The 22,745-nt window shown below is 41.2% G+C and overlaps 1 protein-coding gene and 1 pseudogene across 1 annotated transcript in view, besides 1 other annotated feature; one reads left to right on the top strand and one right to left on the bottom strand.

Moving 5' to 3' along the window:
* GAB2 (GRB2 associated binding protein 2) overlaps positions 1-22,745 on the top strand; it is a 202,528-nt gene that overhangs the window by 28,113 nt on the left and 151,670 nt on the right. The gene's annotated exons all lie outside the window — the stretch shown is intronic.
* ZNF75CP (zinc finger protein 75C, pseudogene) lies at positions 2,682-5,675 on the bottom strand (annotated as a pseudogene).
* Positions 18,580-19,530: an enhancer, noted in NCBI's record as "H3K27ac hESC enhancer chr11:78081224-78082174 (GRCh37/hg19 assembly coordinates)". NCBI's record gives its function as "activates a minimal SCP1, AML or CMV promoter by ChIP-STARR-seq in primed H9 embryonic stem cells {active_cell/tissue: H9 hESC(primed)}" and the evidence as "EXISTENCE:reporter gene assay evidence [ECO:0000049][PMID:30033119]".

Below are 22,745 nucleotides of genomic sequence, written 5' to 3'. Positions count from 1 at the left end.
ACCATTTAAAAGTGTACATATTCAGTGTTTTCAGTATATTTATGCAGTTGTACAGCCATCACCACTATTTTCAGAACATTCTTACCTGAAAAGAAAACCACGGCCGGGCGCGGTGGCTCACGCCTGTAATCCAGCACTTTGGGAAGCCGAGGTGGGTGGATCACCTGAGGTTGGGAGTTCGAGACCAGTCTGACCAACATGGAGAAACCCTGTCTCTATTAAAAATACAAAAAATTAGCTGGGTGTGGTGGCACATGCCTGTAATCCCAGCTACTTGGGAGGCTGAGGCAAAAGAATCACATCAACCCGGGAGGCGGAGGTTGCAGTGAGCCGAGATTGTGCCATTGCACTCCTTCCTGGGCAACGAGCAAAACTCTGTCTCAAAAAAAAAAAAAAGGAAAACCACATGCTTTTCTGTCATTCTCTAAAAGAAAAGGTAGAAAAGGACATGGAGTTGTTCTTCATGTCAATCTCAGATGTTTCTCCCAAAGTAAAATGTCATTTTTCCTGTTGTGATCTCAGAACATGTTGATTGAGACTCTATCTTGGCACTTAATACATTCTGCCAAGAAACTAGGAGCATGAATACCTCTCCTCTGCCAGCTTAGGAGGACCCTGGGAGCAAAGACTAGGTCTTGTGCTAATTTTACCACCTGTTGAGTAAATGCTTAATATGTACTCATTAAATATCAGTTTGAATTCTATTGACATCCTTAGACTTTTCAGGTAGATTTCTAGGAGAAAGATCTTTTCTGACCAATACATCCCTAGTTCATTTCTCCGTTGGGTGGAGTTTCTCATTCTTCTGTTTCTACCCAAAGAAGTATGATTTAAAGTAAGGTAAGGGTTAACTTTCTTTCTCGCTCTAGTTCTCAGTCTCTTTCTCTCTCTTTTTAACAAAACAAAAATAAGCAGGACTGATGGTGGGAATAGAATCATTGCATTTGCTTATTTTGAAGTTATGTTCTCTAAGGATATCCATAGCTCTGAGGGCAAAAGGTTGGTAGAGAACATTTGGATAAAGACAAGAGAAATTATGTTCTGGGACTATATTGTGAGCCCCATCTATAAACAATATGATGCCAGGCACAGTGGCTCACACCTGTAATCCCAGCTTTTTGGGAGGCTGAGGCAGGAGGATCACTTGAGCCCACGAGTTCGAGATCAGCCTAGACAACATAGCAAGACACTGTCTCTACAAAAAATTCTTAAAAATAGCTGGATGTGGTGGCACATCCCTGTAGTCCCAGCTACTCAGGAGGCTGAGGTAGGAGGATTGCCCAAGCCCAGGAAGTTGAGGCTGCAGTGACGTGTGATCATGCCACTGCACTCCACCCTAGACAACAGAGCGAGACCCTGTCGCAAAAAAACAATGTGGAGGCCAGGCACAGTGGCTCATGTTTGTGATCTTAGCACGTTGGGAGGCTGAGGCAGCTGGATCTCTTGAAGTCTGGACTTCAGGACCAGTCTGGCCAACAAGGCAAAAAAACCCCGTCTCTACTGAAAAATAGAAAAATTAGCGGGTGTGGTGGTGCATGCCTATAGTCCCAGCTACTTGGAAGGCTGAGGCACAAGAATCGCTTGAAGCCAGGAAACAGATTGCAGTGGGCCAAGATCGTGCCATGCACTCCAGCCTGGACTCTGTCTAAAAAAAAAAAAAATACGGAGTCATAATTTATTATGCATATTATATACATATTGAGCACTTACTATATAGAGTACTGTCCTGTGCATTTCTTATGTATTAGTTAACCTTCACTTTTATTTTCTCCATTTTGTGGATAAGAAACTAAAGGACAGGGTATTTAGGAAAATTGCAAAAGATGTCTCCATTAGAAAATAAAAGAACCACATTTTGACCCCAAGCAATCTTCCTCTAGTGCCTGGTTGGTGTCTCCATATAAAATAAACTGAATTTGAATCCTGGCTCTACTATTTAGTAGGAATATAGCTTTGGATAAGTCATCTAATCTCTTTGAGCCTCACTTTCTACATGAGGTAGTTGGCAGATTGTGAGTAAAGCTCCTTAGTCCATTGTGATTCCCTTCTGTCATTTATTTGTGGATTTTTCTTGCTAACTCTGTACAGTCTGACAGCAGGATATGTGAGTGATGGCAGATTTCAACTATTTGTTATGTAATGATTAAGCAGTTCTACACATCCTTTTCTATCGTGTTAACAAATTTGTTTCTCAACCCACTGAGAGACCACTGTTACTGTGGACTTAATTCTGACCCATTGGTAGAGATTTTGGTAATATAAACTTGATGAGAACTTGATAACGTGATGGTCAGTTTAGCTTGTTAGCAGTGAAGAGCAAGAACATCGTACCCTAGACTTTAGAAATGCGTATTTCAGAAAGTGTCTGAAAACCTTGACCAATGCTAGTACATCTAGAGAAGATGACAGCCCAAGGGATCATGTGGGAAGCATGCCAGATAAGGAGTAGTTGGAGCCTCAGAGGTCATACAGTGTGAGGAAAAGAAGAGTTTTAAAAAGAAAGAAAAGAAAAAGAAGATATTCCATTGTGGGGGGCTCACACGGAATCTAAAGTAGAAGGACTGCTTCAGCCTAGCAGCTCTAGGCTACAGTGAGCTATGACCTAGCCACTGTACTCCAGCCTGGGTGACAAAGTGAGTCCCCACCTCATTCATTGATTGATTGATTCATTCATTCATTATTTTGGTAACAACGTTTTGTTTAATGTCTAAATCTAACAAAACATGTCATTTTGATTTAAAAGTACAATTTTATGAAATAATAAATATATAGAAGGCTTGGCCAACATTTATAAACCAGATGTAAATCCGTGCCTTCCAACTTCCTTGACATCACATTGTCTCTTCGTAAGAGATAGTCACTTTGGCCAGTAGGGAAGACAGGAAAACCAATAACATGAGTAAACAATTTACATCTTGCCTGGCCCTGACTGCGGTCATTACTCTAAGCCACATGCCTTACTTTGCTCTGACACTTCAGGATGTTCCCTCCTGGTATTAGCTGTGCACCAAGGCTAAGAGGTCACAGGGCCCTCCTTGCCATTCTCAATAAATCAGTTTTGGAAAACCTCCAGGCCTTCTTGCAGAGTATTCAGGCATATAGGGTTGTAGCTGATCAGCCATAAGGACAGGCCTCCCTTTAGGCCCTGCAGCAGTGTAGCACCAGTTTGAAAGCCTCCATCCAGTGCACATAATGAAAGTCAGAAAAAGACCTTCATTACTTATGTGTACTTTCTACAAAGAAACAGATACCTGGATGAGGGCCAAGACTGCCTCCTTCATCATTCCATTTTGTGTTGTCTGTGTTGACAGAGTCAGCAAGAGAAGAGATATCAAGTGCTTGCAGGGTCCCTAGGTCTGTCCTTGTAGCCAGACCTTCCCTTGCTACTTGTAATTCCTTGACAGAAGACATTGTGGTAGTGGGTACTCAGGAAAGAAGCAACTAGAATGGGGCACTTCTCCCAGGGCAAACACTGAATCCTCTTTCTGTTATAAAGTTCCCTGAGTCCTGGGTTTGATTGTTCACATAGATAGAATGATAGCTATTGAAACTGTCCCTAACTTAGTAATTCTCTCTGAACTCCCTTGAGAGGGCCCAGGTACTCTTACCTTCCATCTCTCCTGACAAAGAATAAAGAATGAGTCTAAGAGTCTTGACCATCATATATCTCAGGCACTGACTGGGGATGGGGAAGCTTTGAATAACCAGATACATACGTATAGATAGACAGGTAAAGATATCTCATAGCTACACTTTCATTTTTTTATTAATAAAATACTAATTATGTATCAGTCTTGTGCTAGGCATGAAAGATGCAATGCTGAATAAGACAGGTTAGATAACTTTTGTGAAGCATAATATGTACCCCTCCCAAATGTTCTGTTGATGACAGATTCCTATCATTGGGTGCCTCATAATTTTGTATTCTTTCATCACATCTAAAATCAATCTCTACATGGTAACTTTCCTCAGTTTGGAGACATTGGACATGCTTCCCATCTTCTGTGGAGTTTCTGGTGTCTAAGAAGGCTCAACTGCCTACTAAAGTTTCTCCTGCATATGCTACAAGTATAAGGCTGCTCACCTGTGTGAGTTCTCTGGTATTTAATAAGGTTGGATTTGTGAATGAATATTTTCCCACATTCATGACATTTAAAGGGCTTCTCTCCTGTGTGAATTCTTTGGTGTGTTTGTAGATTTGTGTCATAACTAATGCTTTTCCCATACCATGAGCATCTATATGGGTTTATTCCTTGATGTGTCATGAAGTGCTTATTAAGACCTGAACTCCATCTAAACCTCCTGTCACATTGTTGACATTTATAGAGTTTCTCTTCAGTGTGAATTCTCTGGTGCTTAATAAGATCTGAGCTAACTCTGAAGATTTTCCCACAGTCCTGACATTTAAAAGGTTTCTCTCCTGTGTGGCCTTTCCCGTGAAGATCCATAAGTTTTGGAAGCTCTTGTTTACAAGTTGTAAGTTTCTTTTCTTCCTTGGAAAAGCTTGATGCCATTTCTATACCCTGTGTGTATCACCATGATTTTCCCTGTCCTTTGTTTTCTGGGCAATTTTCATTCTGGTCTTTTTTGATACTTTGTATCCTGCTGTTTGTATTTCAGGTGCAGAAACCGATATTATAGGATAGTCATTTCCATTGTCATTTTTTAGCTTTAACCCTAGAGAGATGGCAGTCTCATAGATATCCTGCATTACATCATTGTAGAGAGTCTTCTCAAGAGGACCTAATAATTGCCATTCTTCCTCAGAGAAGTACACAGCCATGTCTTCAAATGTCAATAAACTCTGGGACTCAGGCCAGATGAGCTTAGGTGCCATCTTCCAGTCTTTGGTGCTTTTGTGCTCAGAAAGGGCTAAAATCTGTTGAACATGCACAGCTCTTTCATATACAGGCTGGGTTTCTTTCTGAGTATTCCAGCCCAGCTGTTCTTGTAGTACCCTGTATGTGTTCCAGTATTCTTTCTAGAACAGACCCATTGGTTCGAGCTCTGCTGGCTTCCACTTGAAGCCTGGGGCCACTGTTGTTCCTCTCAAGAGCACTGCCTCCTCTCCCAGCTCATGGGCTGTGACCTCATTCTTTGTTCCACCAGGTTCTCTCTGCAAGCGTTCCACCAGGACCAGGGCCTGTTTGGCAAGCTGTGGATGATGCTTCTGCACCCAGTTCTGGGTCCCCTTTGGCAGGATGGTCAGGAAGTGCTCTAGTACCAGCATTTCCAAAATGTGCTTTTTTGAGTGGATCTCTGGCCTCAGCCACTGATGGCACAATTTCTGAAGTTGGTTGATAGCCTCAAGCGGTTCAGTTGCTTCATGATAATGGAAGCTCCGGAAGTGCCTGCAAGCACTCCCAGGACTGAGACACTCGATTTGTGTGCTGTATTTCTTACTCTGACTGGAGTTCTCTTTCACAGACCTGTTGGTCTCCCACATAGCTCCCATATGAGAGTTCAAGCATGCATCTGCCTTCAGCTCTCTCATTATCATTTGCTCTAGGAAGAGTTTTACTCCTGTGTGTGACATTCACACCCATCTGGTGCCACCTTTGAGGTGCATCAGGTTTGGTACATTTTGGTACAAAATGAGAGTGCAGGTTTGGTACAAAATCAATGAATAGATCTTCCCAAGAACACTTCAGTCAGCTCTGGCTTCCCTGGAGGCCCCTTTCCTCTTTCTTTGCTCAACTATGCCTCTGTCGCCACGCTGCTGCTCTGGGCAGTGAAGCTCTCTGCTCCTGCACCACTGAAAAGCAATGTCAGGAAAGCCAGCAATGTCACGAAAGCCCGCAATGCCTGGCGAGTAAAGTTCCAAGATTTTGGGAGCCTTGGAAAGGGCCTTGGAAGATCATTTCTCCCATTCAATCCCTCCACCTCCCAGAGACCTTACCCTGACTCACTACTCCTGGGACGAGGTCTGTGGCCATTCATTTAATTAATTGAGACACGGTCTGGCTCTGTTGCCCAGACTGGAGTGCAGGGGCATGATCTCAGCTTACTGCAACCTCTGCCTCCTGGGCTGAAGCCATCCTCCCACCTCAGCCTCTCGAGTAGCTGGCATTACAGGCGCACACCACCACACCTGGCTAATTTTTGTATTTTTTTTTTTTTTTTTTTGGAGAGACAGGGTTTTGCCATGTTGCCCAGGCTGGTCTCAAACTCCTGGGCTCAAATGATTTTGTCCACCTCGCCTCCCAAAGTATTAGGATTACATACGTGAGCCACCACACACGGCTGAGACCCCACGTCTTAAAAAAAAAGAAAAAGACATTGTCGTAGCTATGCCATTCCTTGTGTTTCAGTGTTTGAATTAATGAATTTTTTATCTTATGCCTACTTTTCATGGAAATGGTAGTATTCTCTACTTGCCAGTCATGACTTGCAGCCTTTTCTGGAAGATTATTTCATTTCTGTTTTTTCTTTTTTGAGACGGAGTTTTGCTCTTGTTGCCCAGTCTGGAGTGCAATGGCATGGTCTCAGCTCACTGCAACCTCTGCCTCCCAGGTTCAAGCGATTCTTCTGCCTCAGCCTCCCAAGTAGCTGGGACTACAGGCATGTGCCACCATGCCCAGCTAATTTTGTGTTACTGGTAGAGACAAGGTTTTGCCATGTTGGTCAGGCTCGTCTTGAATTCCTGACCTCAGGTGATCCACCTGCCTTGGCCTCCCAAAGTGCCAGGATTACAGGCGTGAGCCACCACACCCGGCTGGAAGACTGTTTCTAAAGTCAGACAAAGGATAGACTAAATGTGTTTTCTGAGAAACGTTAGTCTAGGGAATCTGAGAGGCCAGAACCTCTATCATGAGTAAAAGAATCATGGCTCATAATCTCTAGTTTTCATCTCATACTGTTGACTTCTAATCGAGTTCCTTGTTTTAGTAACAAATAAAATAAATGTTTTCTGCTCTCAAATCTACAGGGACTTTATTAAAATTGGAGGAACAACATTTGACAGTCTTTTGAACGTTTAGAAAAATAGGATTTATTGTGGCTAAGTCTAAAAGGTCTCATGATTACAATTGACTGAAAAGGAAGGAATGCATTGCTTTCCATGCGTGGTGACTTAATTTTATGTGCAGTACTATGCAATACACAGAGACTTACCTAACTGCTGTTCTTGGAGGGTCTATTAGGCATTAAAGTGTAAGTATCCCTATTGTTATTTACACTAGGAAAAAAAGCATACCTCAGGTCTTTGAGAATCCAGGAAAGCTTTGTTTTAGAATATTGCTCCAGCACTTGCAGTGAGCCGAGATCCCGCCACTGCACTCCAGCCTGGGCGACAGAGCGAGACTCTGTCTCAAAAAAAAAAAAATAATAATAAAAAAAAGAATATTGCTCCAGCAGAAGGGGGGGCCAAGGAATTGTAGGCTTTTATTGAGTGCCTACAGGATGCCTCTCACTGGGGATGTAAATGATACAGTCCTTGGCCTTCAGGAGCCAGGTGTAGAAGGAAATCAATCAACGGTTAACTGAGAGCCACTGAGATGCTGCAATTCCGACATAAACAAAGTGCCATGAGAGCACAGAGGAGGGTACAGCTAATTGATTGGGAATATTCAGAGAAGGCTTCAGGGCTTGGTTCCATCAGCCAGGTCTGGAGGGATCAGTAAAACTTGGACTAGAAGAAGAGAACAAAGGTCTTTTAGCCAAAGGGAACAACTTGTAAAACTTGTTACTGACACGCTGGAATGATGAGAATGGAGCTGATATATGAGAAGTGGTGGGATTAGCATGGCCAAGTTATGAAGATTCTCATATGCTAAGGAGTTAGAGCTCTTATTCTTTAAGCAGCAAGGAACTGCGAAGTTAAGTGTGTAGGTTTTAATGGCCTGACCTCACATATGTGATACAGCCACCTCTGGTTCTCTGATTAAATAATTTGAGAAACAATCCATACTATATTTCTTTTTCATGGTGACTCTATATGTACATAACTACATTGGAGGCTCTGAAATGATAAACTCATTTAATGTGCTTAACACAGGGTCAAATGTGCTCAAACATGGAACCTTTTTTTTTTTATCTATTTACCTTTTAGTTTTTAGTAACATGTTTAGGAGATCTGATATAGGGAAAGGAGGAAGAGGGAGAAACAGGCTTCTAGGGAAATAAAAGAAGAACCTTTTTTACCAGTCTAGCAGTATTTGGCTGTAGCAGGTGGGAGGAGGAAGAGCCATTTCTTAAATCTAAAGACAGCTCTGTACTGGGAGTGAGGAGGTCTAAGTTCTTACTCTGCCTTAGCTGTTAAATAAGCTGTGTGCCCTTGGCTAGTTCACTACTTTTTTGAGACTCATCTCTCAAGACACAGATAAATACTGCTTGACCACAGGTTAGTTGGAGTCTGTGTTAAGTGCTTTATATGTATTAGCTCATTAAATCCTCAAATCAAACCTAAAGTTAGATTCCCATTTCAAAGATAAGAAAAGTGAGGAATTGAGAGATTAAAGAAGCTATTCAAGACCACCTTCTAGTAAATGAGATGGATGGGAGATGGGACATTTTCAGTGGAAGAAACAACTTAAAGGCACAGAAGTGAAAAGGAGCAGGTGATCTTCAAGGAATAATGTGTATAATTTGGTATTGTCAACCTTAAATAGTGAGATTCAGAAAATACGATTAAGTAGAGTCTATTTGAGTACAAAGCTTAAGTATGGCCACCTGGGAGACACTGACTCCAAATGAATGGGGTCAGAGTTTCAAAGTAGAGAAGATAAGGTTTCACTTACATAGGCAGAGACACAGAAATTTTAACAGGATTACAACATTTCCCATACAAGACCAGTGCATACGTTACAGTGATTTGACTGGTTACAGATTCCTACATTCCAAGGAAGATTACTCCATGAGGAGGGACAACGTTCTGAGATGGTCTTATCTCTGGCGCCATTTGGTCTTAATTACGGGGTGGGGGGTTTGGGGGTGGGGAATGGGGGCAGAAGTTGCAGCTGCATGACATGTGACTCAGGCTGCATAGCCACATTCCTCCCAAGGCTCCGAATAATTTAAAGTTCCAATAGCTTTCAGTTTGAATTATTTAATTTCACAGTGTGTAGTGGACTTGGAAGTGTGATAGGAGACAAGAGTGGAAAATGTAGATTTAGGCAATGTTATAGAGGCCTTTGAATGCTGTGTTTTATTTGCATTTTATTCTACAGCTATTAGGGAGTCTTTGTCATCCCAATTTTCAAATGAGGCCTTAGAAATGTTCTCATTCCTGTAATCCCAGCACTTTGGGAGGCCGAGGCAGGCGGATCACGCGGTCAAGAGATTGAGACCATCCTGGCCAACGTGGTGAAACCCCTGTCTCTACTAAAAATACAAAAATTAGCTGGGCATGGTGGCACGCACCTGTAGTCCCAGCTACTTGGGAGGCTGAGGCAGAATCACTTGAACCCGGGAGGCGGAGGTTGCAGTGAGCTGAGATCACACCACTGCATTTCAGCCTGGCGACAGAGCGAGACTTCGTCTCAAAAAAAAAAAAAGTTCTCATTCAATGTCATTCACAATTATTTTATATTCCACTAAGCAGGGGAATAAATACCTTATTGAAAGAGTGCTTGTAGACTTATGCGGACATGGATTTATAGTCCGGCACTCTCTTGCATACACAAAAAAGAAAAGTATAAATGAAACATTGGTAAAGAAATTTCTAAAACTACTTCATAATCAATTCTAGCTTTCAATCACTTTTTAATTCATTGTCCATATTTGCCTACATAATAACTGCCCTGCATGCCATCAAGAGTATTGATGGTGCAACATTTCTTAAAAATGATTCAACATTGTCTTCAAATTTTTCTTTCAGGTTACTGACACGTATTTTGCAAGTTTCAACTTTGGCACTTTCTTGGTCTTACTAGAAGATCTTAGCAAAAAGTCTCACAACTACTGAAATTCATGTTTCTCCTTAAAATGGCCCTTGATTTATTTGTTCAGGGTTGTATTTGTTCAGTCACAATGACAGACATGACAACCAAGTACACTCTTGTGCAGGCAATGACAGCTGTGTCCTGACTGCAGCTTAACTGTAAGACACTCTCAACAGTAGGAAACATTCTGATTTTGATGTTAAAATAGAACTGAATTTGAATTAATGAAATATAGTAGCTTGTTGAAAATCATAGGATGGTGAAGGTATCAGGACCCATTTGCTCACTGTTATCAGTCCAGCCAGTAGGAAATCTGTCTTGTCGGTCAACTGTGTGAGAAAACCCTTTCCTAAAAAGAAGCTTTACCTTATCTATTTCCCTGTTATTTTGAATTTACACTTACTAAGGAGGAAACCAAGGCAAGAAAGACAGCCAAGGACATTTTAATTGACTCAAGAGATACTTACTTTTAACCAAGTCTTTTATGTTCTGGAAAGTGCCTTGAGATCTTTTAATAATCTTGCCAAATCAGCATTTCAATTTGGTACTCAGGATGAGTGATTAGAAGTCATGACAAATCAGCTAGCTTCTCTGTGGAGAATAGCTGAAGCCTCTGGAGAACCACAGTCTTAAATTAGTCTGAAGAAGCGTGAGGTCACAACAGGAAGTAATGTGAACAGGAGGAGTTACTGATCAGATGGTTCAGAGAGCTGGATGATCTTAATAACTTGATTCCAATTTTCCTTGTATGTAACGAACACTTATTGATTGCTTCTCTTAAATTCATCTCCTTTCTCCTTCCTTGCAACACCTTAATTTGTGTTCAGACATCTGTGTGATTCTGGGGAAGCTGGCTCCATCTATCCTAAGCTTCAGGTTTGGCTAGTTAGCACATTGCATTCCCTCAGCCACCATGATTATTTTGGATTGGGCATGTGATCTAAGCAGGTATAGTCTGAGTGTATTCTAGTTGGTATGGTAAGTGGATATAAGGCCTCTATTCTGCCATATGATTTGGTTAAATATAAGAAGTGTCTATGGGGCACAGTGGCTCGTGGTTATAATCCCAACTACTTGGGAGATGGAGGCAGGAGGATTGCTTGAGGCCAGGAGTTCAAGACAAGCCTGAGCATTAAGACTCCTGTTTCAAAGAAACAAAACAAAAGAACAAAAAGAAAAAAGTGACTATGAATCCTGTACTCTGATCCTAGGCTTACAAAGAAGTTCACACCATCACAGATATGCAGTCAGGGTGAAGGGAGAAAGAGAGAACCAATGCCTTCACATCAGGGTTGCTATGAGAATTGAATGGGATCTTGACTGTAAAGCACCTTGCAGAAAAGTCTGACATAAAATATAAATTCATGTTTTAAGGACTTTTGGAATTGCTAATGACAAAAACCAACTCAGGTAAATTTAAGCAAGAAATAGAAATGTAATGGTATGATAATAAGGAAGCTCAGAAAATGGAAGAAAATTTTCTAGATACCAGGCGACCTTGGGCACACAATCATATTTTAATGGCCCAAGGGCGCTCATTGTATCTCATACTGCTTGTCTGTGTTTGGCTTTCTTTTTTCCTGTAGGCAAGCTGTCTATAGGTGATAAGAAAGGAGATCACTGGCAACCCTCAGTCCTCTCATCTCTGTAACCTAAAAGGCAAGGTCCTTACTTTTAGAACTCCAAATTTAAAATCCTAGGGAAGGATACTGACAGTTGGGGCCATAATTCTACCCCTGGACTGAGCCATTATGGCCAGGGAATTGGAAACTACGGTAGTCAGACTAGAGCTACCTGTGCCTCACCTGACACTCACGTGGTAGGTGTGGAGAGGGATGAGTGACAGCTTCGCTCAGAATCATGTTTGCATCTCGTGGAAAGCAATTTCCTCCATGAGAAAGGGAAGCAGTGCTGGATAGTAAAACAAGTATCCAGTTATTCAGTACTTGCTTTTTGTCTGAAGCAGATTCATCCTCCTTATCTCTGGCAGGGTGGAGGGAAAATAAGAAAGTAGGAGAGAGAGTGAAGTGTAAATTTTATTGTGTACTTAACTACGTAGTAAGTAAACTTTGCAGGTATGAGCCGATTGCATCTCATTTAATCTTTGCTACAATACTGTGCGATAGATAATATTCTCATGTCAGCCAGAAACAAGCTCAAGTTAAGAAACTAGCCCAGGACCATATAAAGCTGAGTCCACTTGTCTCCAAAGCATAATAGGCTTTTCTGCTGCTACCACGTTCTTCAAAATAAAGTGAGTTAAACTTGCCTGGTCAACATGCCGGTCCCCTGTACTCCCTGCTACCGACTCAATGTTTGTGTCCCCCCAAAACCATGTATTGAAATTCTGATCCCCAGTGTGATAGAATTTGGAGATGGGGCCTTTGGGAAAATTGAGTCATGAGAGTAGAGCCCTCATGATGGGATTAGTGTCTTTATAAGAAGTGAACACACACAAGAGAACTTCCATCCAGTCGCCTTTTTCTGCCATGTGAGGACACAGCAAGAAGGCAGCCCTCTGTAAAGCTGGAAAAGGGCCGTCACCAGACACTGGACCTACTAGTTCCTTCATCCTGGACTTCCCAGCCTCCAGAACTGTGAGAAATGTCTGTGTATTAGGCTGTTCTTGCAGTGCTAGAAATAAATACCTGAGACTGGATAATTTAAAATGAAAATAGATTTAATTGGTTTACAGTTCTGCAGGCTTTACCAGAAGCATGTTGCTGGCATCTGCTCAGCTTCTGGTGAAGCCTCAGGGAGCTTTCAGTCATGGCAGGAGATGAAAGGGGAAGAGGCACATCACACAGCGAAAGCAGGGGCAAGCTTGAGAGAGTCGGGGTGGCAGGAGGTGCCATACACTTTTAAATGAACAGCTCTTACAAGACTCACAGCACCAAGCCATGAGGGATCCACTCCCATGATCTAAACACCTTCCACCAAGCCCCACCTCCCGTACTAAGGATTACAATTCAGCATGAGATTTGGGCGGGGACAAATATCCCAACTGTCAGTCTGTTGTTTAAGTCACCTAGTCTATGGTAATTTGTTATAGCAGCCCAGGCTGATTAAGACACTTCCCTAGTCACAGTCTCGGTGCCCCCCTCCAACTCTCCCTCATCATGAGCCTAGATTAGAACTTGAAACCTAGGTTGTCCAGACTTTTATGGTTATTCTTGCCTTATCCTACAGTAAACAAAGGATGTATTCCCCAACTTTTAATCAGAACAGAATGTGTGAAAACACATTTCCAAGTTTCACATATACTGAACACAACCTTTTACTTAAAAGATGAAAAAGCTGTAGCAAGAGCTGGCTGGTCTGTATTTGAATCCCATTACTTACTAACTAGGCAAGTATTCTGTGTCTCAATTTTTTCATCCTTAAAGTGAGGCTAATGATGGAACCTATCTCATAGGGCTTGTTGTGAAGATTGAGTGAGTTAATACATAAAGTGCTTAGAATAGTATCTGGTACACAGCAAGTACTGTCTCAGTGTTAGCTCTTTATTAGAAGTATTGTTATTCATCATTAATGGGCTCTTCTTATTAATGCCAAAACAGGCAGACTTTGCTTAGGGAATCTTCATTTTGCTCCTTGAGTTCACATCTGGGATGTAGGTACTTAGCTCTCAAAGAGAGCTGACTACAATCTAAGGCAAAAATAAACTATTTGTAGTCCAGGAAGTTCTAAGGAAGAAACAGTCTCCCTGCCTATCTGGTCCTGTTCGTATACATATGATTAACATTTCCCCCATATTTCCCCTCTAATTATACTTACGTTCTGATCTTTTGCACATGCAAGTTTAAATAAACTTCCCTCTGTTAGACTATGGGAAACAGTTAAATCTGGAATGCACAGAGCTGCTGTATCCAAAGTACTGCAGGTGATTTGGCAGAAGGGTGGTATAAGGAGTAGGATGGTCTGAGCACATCTGGCAGGCACCAGAAGCCAATGGAGAGTCTGTGTATGAAGCTTCTGAATGAAATGGAATATAGTTTCCTCTGTGAGGAGCTAGGACAACGTGGTCCCCAAGGAAAATCTGAAGAGCACTCTGTAACTTATTAGTCAGTGAGTCAAAGAGGGAAAATGGAAGGCTATATCACTGACTATGTAAGCTTTATAAATTTTGAGGTGTTCGGGCCTTTTCTCTGCCTCTCTAGTTCAGCTCAGATTACTACCTGATTCTAGAATGGGATCTAAAACTCAGTTGTAATGGGTAAATCTCAAGATGTATCCATTTACTTCTATATCAGTGGGCATATTGGGAACTATACCTCTAGATTGCTGATCAGTTGATGTATCTGTCTCTAATTTTACCATATATTTGCTGTACCAATAAATGCCTTTTTAATGTTAAACATTTTCCAACAAATATTTCCACCATGTCTTTGCCACTGAAAAGACATTTTATATCAGGAAGAGCCTTAGATTTTTCAAACTGTGTATGGATCAAAAAGTACTTTAATTAAGCTGTGCCCAGACTAAAAAAAATACAAACAAAAAAACCCCATTTCAAAATGAAAGTGAATAGTTGTGGCCTTTGATTTTAAAAAATCTCACAAGATAGACTGAGACTATTTTGTAGTAGTAGTAGTTTAATTCAAATACCCAAATATTAGCAGGGCATAGTGGCATGCATCTGTAGTCCCAGCTACTTGGGAGGCTGAGGCGGGAGGATTGCTTGAGCCCAGGAGTTCTAGGCTGCAGTGAGCTATGATTGTGCAATTGCACTCTAGTGTGGGTGACAGAGCAAGACCCTGCCTCTAAAGAAAATACAAAATAAATAAACGAAATATACAAAGATTGCAAAGTGTGCAGTTTGTGGTCTTCCCTTTACCAATGTACCTGTGTGTGAAATAGAATTTTCGTTACATGCTACAATTAAAATAATATTTCAATAGACTTGATGCTGTTCTTGATTTGAAGATCCAATTTAGCAACTGCATTCTGGCATTTATTCCCCTCCTTACCCATCCACCTTGTTTTATGCATAGAATAAACCCATAAAATGTTCTTTCTTAGTTCTTAGTTTCCTGGTGTGTCTATCCACCCATTAGAATAATGGGTCTGTCTTTTACATTTCTGTAAAACTGTGTGCCATTATATTACTTACTAAATTGTATTTTAATTTAATGTATATAATTTCTGTCCAACTCCAATAAAATATCAAACCCTTAAAGATAGGGATAGTATTCATCTTTGTATTTTTAGCATTCAGCGTAATGACCAGCATATAATAGACATTCTGCAAATATTTGAATCATTATTTTATACATTAAGAAATGGATGATGAGTAAGGTGTAACAACTTCACTAACTTATCTAGTCAGTAGCAGAATTGGCACTAGGACTAGACCCCGGGACTTCAGGTTCCCCCCCGGGTAACCCCCAAGTCTTTCCTTTGTTGTAGGGGTTTGTTGACATGGACAATAAGGTCCTACATAGACATAGTTTTATAATGAGTTCAGAAATGGCTCGACAAAAGTGAAACCTGTGACAAATACCGGATTATTTGTATTGTAGACCTTGGTCTTAATAATTTTGTTTTTCTTCGAGGGTTGATGGCAGGTCATGAGATTTGAGAGACACACACAGTAGTCAACTGTATGGAAAATACTGAGGAAGTGTGTTTTCGGATTACAAAACTAAACTGGGATCAACTTGGACTTTTTCAGTCAAGCTGTTAGAATGTGTGTCTAAAGTTGGCCTGCTTATCATGTGTTATAATATAATATTGGTTTGGTCAGACCCTCTGATTTGTCAAATCCTTGCCAAAAATGGGTCCCATAGAAGGCAACCTGGGATTAGAATGCTTTTCAATGTAAAGTCTCAGGTTTCCAGGGTAAACCATCTTCACTTAGCAGAACTAATTCCTTTAACAAGCATTTGTTGATTCCAACTGTGTGTCGGGTACTGTGCTAGCCTGGAGCAGCAAAGAAGGATAAAAAGAACCTTGTTTTAGAGGAGCTATTAAGTCAGATTCTGTCCCCAAACTGAACAGCTACACAAAGAGGTGATTTCTGTTTGAGGGGTTTGTGTGATCATCTAACAACAAAGGAGCTGGGAACCAAGAAAGTTGGGTCAATAATAACAATGACTACATTAATCCAGTATCATGCCAGGTTCTATTCTAAGCAATTTACATGTATTACTTAAGTATTTGTTTACATTTGCGGAAGTTTTCCTTGTCCCGGGCCCATTCAATGTGTTATTTTTATCTCTACGTTTAGAAACTTTGACCTTTTTTGTTTTGTGGCTTGTCCCTTATTTGATTTAAAAAGTCATTATATGGCCAGGCGTGGTGGCTCACGCCTGTAATCCCAGCACTTTGGGAGGCCAAGGTGGGCAGATCACCTGAGGTCAGTAGTCCAAGACCAGCCTGACCAGCAAGGAGAAACTCCCATCTCTACTAAAATACAAAATTAGCCGGGTGTGGTGATGCATGCCTGTAATCCCAGCTACTCCAGAGGCTGAGGCAGGAGAATCGCTTTAACCCTGAGGCGGAGGTTGCAGTGAGCTGAGATTCCGCCATTGCACTCCAGCCTGGGCAACAAAAGTGAAACTCCATCTCAAAAAAAAAAAAAAAAAAGTCATTATAATCACCTAGTAGCTTTAGATATGACTCTATATATAATGTATAGAACAGAGAAGAGTTGTTTGCTCCATAAACATGTACAATTATTTGTCAAAAGAGAAATACAAGTTATTCATATTAGTATTCACAGTCTTCCCTTTAGTTTCTCACCGACTCAGTGTATCTACCAAGATTCCCTTGGTAATATCTGTCCCTCAGGTAGTCTGCTTGCCCAGTGGTAAGTCTTTCTAGGGTGGAAGGATTCTTTCTTACTGGGTCTTCTTCCAGGACTCTACTTCTTTCTAATAGGCTGAATGGAGCGAAAATGTAAAAATAGGGAAGACACGCTGAATCTTCTTAATAAAGAATTTTTAAGATAAAGGGGAAAGGGGAGAATGCAAATTTGAAACTGGTTTTGAAGGTTGGGAGTGGGGTAGGTTGGTGAATGAGAGACCCTTGAGCAACTATATTATATGAGAGAATTGATTAAGAGATAAAAAGTGTGTTACGATTTTGATTTCTTCTCGTATCCATTGAGGAAAGCATGTAAAGACTGGAATTACTGTTTTTTCACTTTTGATTGTTGGACTTTCTACCCAGGACAGCCACTTAGATTGCTGGGGTTTATTCAGGTTATACATACCATGCCTCTCTATTTTAACTGGCTTTTTGTCCCTTTCCTTGCTCAGCAGTTTTTCTGCAAGTAGCTGATAAATCAGGAATTCTTAAATTCTTTTAAAGGGTTTTTCCTGAAAGATAAGTTTTTTTAGAGAAGTAGAGTGGGCCTAGGGAATAATACCAACCTTAGATGTGGAACCTCTAGGGGCTGGTCAAATGTATTTGGCACACTTACTCTTTACTATGTCATCAACAAGACTTGGATGTCTTTCCTATTTACTGCCTTTGTCGTTGGAGCTACGATTCACATCTGTTCCAGAGGTCATGGAAACTCTTCATCTCTCAGCATTTCTAGTGGGTATCCTTGGCAGGCTTAAAGCAGAGTCAGGAGGGTGAGAGCTCAGAGAGAGGCTAAGGTGAAAGCACTTTGTAAACTTATAGAGGATGGTATTTTGTACAAAGCCTGGCACACAGCAGACATTCAGTAAAAATGCATAGAATTAAAAGAAAAGGAAAAAAAGCAGATACCTTTTACTCATAGCAGTAATCTCTCTTCTGCTCCCCCTACCTTGGTCAGGATAAGAGTGCCTTGTGACATGGATTAACACCATACGAGTAATAGTTTATATTATTTAATCTCATTTCTTAAACTAGCCCTACAAAATATAGTATGATTTTGATTTTATGTTTATGGGAATGAAGGTTTTAGAGGGTCTATGTCACTTGCCCAAATATTACCCTTGTAATAAGAGATGGAACTGGGATTGGAATGTAAATGTGTCTAGCTTCAAAACCTTTTATTTATTTTTTTTCTACCTTTCTGGCCGGTACAGCTGTCAGACTATGTTTAGAAGTCTCATGGGTCCTTCAAGTGACTTTACTAATGGTCTTATGAAAAGCTGTCTCCCCTGAGAATTGGTGTTTGACGTTCTTGGTTCATTCAGCAAATGTGTGCTTAGCCCCAGCTATAAGCATGAACTGTACTAGACAGCAAAGGTGGACACCAAAGAAATAATCCCATCCTCATGGAGCTGCCAGTGTAGTGAGTGATCATAAATATAAACAATGTTGGGCAGAGTGATGTTAGCAGTATAACGTGAGGTTGTCCTGGAGGAACACGGAAGAGGGATTGAATGAGGGAAGGAAAAGAATCAGCCCCTCTTATGTAAGAGGCAGCACTATGTCTGCCAGAGCCTAACATCTCTTTTAGCCACCTTAGCTCATTTAATCTTCACTATAACCATGTAATATCCTGATTATACAGATCAGCAACCTACTTGGCGTTTCACAACAAGGAGCAGATGGATAGGATTTTCAATCTCAGAACTGTCTGGCTGCAAGTCCCTGCCCTTTTCATTAGACTACTGAGTATAGACTAAGTATAGGTTTTTCCTAATGTATGTTTTTTAAATACATGATAGTTAAAGTTCTATTCTGTATACAAGGGTATGCGTTGTGTGAGACTCAGTGTGTCTATCGAGATGCCCTTGGTTCTGTCTGCACCTCAGGCAGTCTGCTTGCTCAGTGGTGAGTCTTCAGATGTTGCTGCTTTTGCCACGTTTTCTAACAGTGCTGGCTGTCTCATCTTCCCTCTGTGAGGGTGGGGCTCTGGTTTGGTCTCTGTTAAGTCCATTGTGGAGAGAACTACAGCAACTCATGTGCCTAAGCCCCATTTGGCCAGACCCTGGCCTCTCCTACCACTTTCAAGTTCAAACGTGGGGTGTGTTCTTCCCCAGTGACTGTCCAGAGTGGCTGGGTAAACACAGCCTGGAAGTAGGGAGTGAGGGCAGTTGACATCACTGACCAGAGCAGTTGGAAGCTGGAGAAGGGAAGGAGCCAGCAGACAAATTGCTTCGTGTCTGCCTGCCTTTCTCCTCCATTTACCCCTTACACACACACACACACACACATACACACACACACGCACACACACATACAATATTAGTAGTTCCATACAACCCATCCTGTAACCTTCTAAATGAGCAGTTGTCTGTGTTTTCATGCTAAGCCGTAGCGGGTTTGTTGATGCATATAGCCTTGGTTTCCTTTCCCTCCTATTCTTTCCTACCAGTCTTTCCCCACTCTCTGCTCTGAGATTGCAACACATGATAAACAGGTAAGCTTTGCTCCAGACTGTTTTCTAGAACCTGGGCACAATAGTAGTCAATAAAAAACATCTTGCCCATCACAGACCCTTGCCCTGTTTGCCCTGTTTTATACCTTGTTATTTTTCACTTAGCATAAATCAGGTAATATTTGAATACTACCATATGATTAATGTGCACCAAAATCCTGTGAGATAAAATAAACCATGAGTGTAGTTCCGTATTTGCATATATAGGTCAATTGTATTTTCTTTTCTTTTTTTTTTTTTTTTTTGAGACGGAGTCTCGCTCTGTCGCCCAGGCTGGAGTGCAGTGGCGGGATCTCAGCTCACTGCAAGCTCCGCCTCCCGGGTTCACGCCATTCTCCTGCCTCAGCCTCCCAAGTAGCTGGGACTACAGGCGCCCGCCACTACGCCCGGCTAATTTTTTGTATTTTTAGTAGAGACGGGGTTTCACCGTTTTAGCCGGGATGGTCTCGATCTCCTGACCTCGTGATCCGCCCGCCTCGGCCTCCCAAAGTGCTGGGATTACAGGCGTGAGCCACCGCGCCCGGCCAGTATTTTCTTTTTTAAAGGAAAGATTATTGCTTTTGTTAAAATGGTACATGTTCGTTATAAATCAAGAAATGCTAAAACAAACAAACAAAAAACCCCACGCCAGATGCCATCATCTGGTGATAACCTTTAGGTGAATAACGTTCTGGGGGCGCTCATGAAGCTCAGCTTTTCTCATTATCTTTATAGTAGTGTCCGAGTATACTACTGTAATTTAACCAACCTGACCAGTTGATAAGCAGTTACAGTATTTTATTTACTTAAAAAATGTGCTGAAATGACCATCCTTATAAATGCCTTTGGATTTTTTAAACTTGTTGGTATGTAAGATATATTTCTCCCCCTGAAAATTTTTATTCAGATACTACCTTGTGACCAACACACCTGTTTTGCAGATGAAAGACTCTGGGCCAAAGCAAAACTAATAGCAAGATAATCTGCCCTTAGGCGACTCTTCTAATGAGAAAGAATGGGAACACAAAACACTGTATAAGGGATGCAAGTTTCACATCCCAGATTTTGGTAACCAAAAGAAACCATAGGCCACACAGCTGATCAGAGGTATATTTGAGCTATTCCATTACATTTTAGATTTTAACTTTGCTACAGTAAGTCATGGCTCAAATACAGTAGAGGCACTGATTGATCATTAAGTTTATATACACTGTAAACTAACCCAGTTAAAAGGCAACAGCACCATATTTTGAAGACAGGGTGACCAAGTTTCTAATGCAATGATTGCCATTGATTAATACAATGAACTGGAGACCAGCAGGGATGATAAATTTTCCTGGCATTGAGAATTACTTATCTGACTTTTTTTTTTTTTTTTTTTGAGACAGGGTCTCTGTCACTCTGTCACCCAGGCTGGAGTGCAGTGGTACAATCATTGCTCACTGCAGCCTTGACCTCCTGGGCTCAAGTGATCCTCCCACCTCAGCCTCCTGAGTAGCTGGGACTACAGGCACATGCCACCATGCCCGTAAATATAAATTTATTTAATAAGTAAATTTATTAATTTTAAACAAATTAAAAAATTTTTTAATTTTTAAAAAATTTGTTTGTAGCGATGGGGTCTCGCTGTGTTTCCCAGGCTGGTCTCAAACTCCTAGCCTCAAGCAATTCTCCCACCTCAGCCTCCCAAAGTGCTGGGGTTATAGGCATGAGCCGCCATGCCTGGACTTATCTGACTTTAAAGATGCTTTTCTGGGGTCTGAAGTTGAAGATTTAAACCTATAGAGTTTATTTTTGCTGTCTTGTCTTTTTTTTTTCAGTTTGTTAACATGCTGTGTAGTTCTGTTACAAACATATGTAGTGAAAGACCAGCTTTTATTAGGGTTAATTGTTCCTTTTCTCATTTGGTATGCACTAGTATTTAGTGAAATTCTTCCTTCGTGTAGTATGCTTTGTTTCTATTTTTATTAAAACATTTGTTTGTATTGTGACTATTTGTGTAGTAATTTATATATTTAATTTGTAGCTTGCTTTTCAGCCATCAGTACTGTATTTCAGTGACTTCTGCACAAACGTGATTTAACTATAGGAAATTTTTTTGTCCAGGATAATTTACATAAAGTCCCTCACTTGAGAATTTCAGGTGACAGAAGTTTACTATATTTCTAAATAGCAAGCCTATTATAGAGTAGATCAGAATTAATCATATTCATGAACAGTATTAATCTGTTGAATAATCAAACCATCAAGGCAGATGCATTGGTTGAGTTGCTGTTCATGGACTTCCTGGTTGAACAAAATGGTCTTGCCATTCTTAGCAAAGAAATACCTCAGCATGTGGCAACTCATGGATGTGGCCAGTAAGTGCTGTGAGAAGTGAACAAAGAATAGAAAATTAAGCACTGACAGCCGGGCGCAGTGGCTCACGCCTGTAATCCCAGCACTTTGGGAGGCCGAGGCGGGCGGATCACGAGGTCAGGAGATTGAGACCATCTTGGCTAACACGGTGAAACCCCGTCTCTACTAAAAATACAAAAAATTAGCCGGGCGCAGTGGCGGGTGCCGGTAGTCCCAGCTACTCGGGAGGCTGAGGCAGGAGAATGGCGTGAATCCGGGAGGCGGAGCTTGCAGTGAGCAGAGATAGCGCCACTGCCTGGGGGGAAGAGCAAGACTCCGTCTCAAAAAAAAAAAAAAAAAAAAAGAAAAAGAAAATTAAGCACTGACATATTCTGAGATGTTTTCTGAAGGAGCTCAGGCTAAATGCTCTCACCTCCTTAATACTGGCTGAGAGGCTGGATCTTCTGCCTGCAGCCCAGTAGCACTTGGTTTATAACACTATATGAAGTGACTGCATCTCTAAGCCAAAAATCATGATACATGTTCTAAGACAGATTATAGACTGGTATCTTTAGCCTGAATTCCATCTATAAAGTGTTTTGCTTGGCCTGCAGTGTTTTAAACACTTTTAATTAGTCGTAGATTGTTAAAAGCTGAGATCTCTTACATAAAATCCGTAAAATGTCCAGCTTCCAGATCTGGGAACACTGGGCCCAAATTTCTGCCTAGCAGCAATTAGCTGGAACTGGGTGGTAGCTTTCCATTTAAGCCAAAGCATATGCTTTCTAGTCTGCTGTATCACATGCACGCACGCACACATACATGCACACACCAGTCACTCATATATGTACCTACCTGACCCTTTACACTTCCAGACCATATGCCCTTCGAAGGCAGGATTTTTGTCTGTTTTGTTCATTGCTTTTTTCTCATGACCAGAATGTTGTCTGGCACAAAGTAGGTTAAAGGATATTGCTAGATGGAGGAAGAATGTATTTGTGACTCTTGGTCCAAGTTGATGGGGGAAAAGAAAACAGAAGTTTTCAATTTGGAGCTCCTCCAGATATTTGAGCTATGTTCCCCTTTACCCCTGAGATACTGTATGGCTCAGGAATATACCTTAGTATCATAATTTTGTATATGACTTATCTCCCTTGCTAGATGGTAAATTCATTGGGTTCAGGGACCTGTCTTGTATTTTTTTGCATCCTTAAGAATACCTT

The sequence above is a fragment of the Homo sapiens genome, chromosome 11 (genome assembly GCF_000001405.40).
Source record: "Homo sapiens chromosome 11, GRCh38.p14 Primary Assembly".
In the NCBI taxonomy this organism is placed as follows: Eukaryota; Metazoa; Chordata; class Mammalia; order Primates; family Hominidae; genus Homo; species Homo sapiens.
Note: the sequence above shows the minus strand (reverse complement) of the source record. Positions and strands in the feature narration are given on the sequence as shown.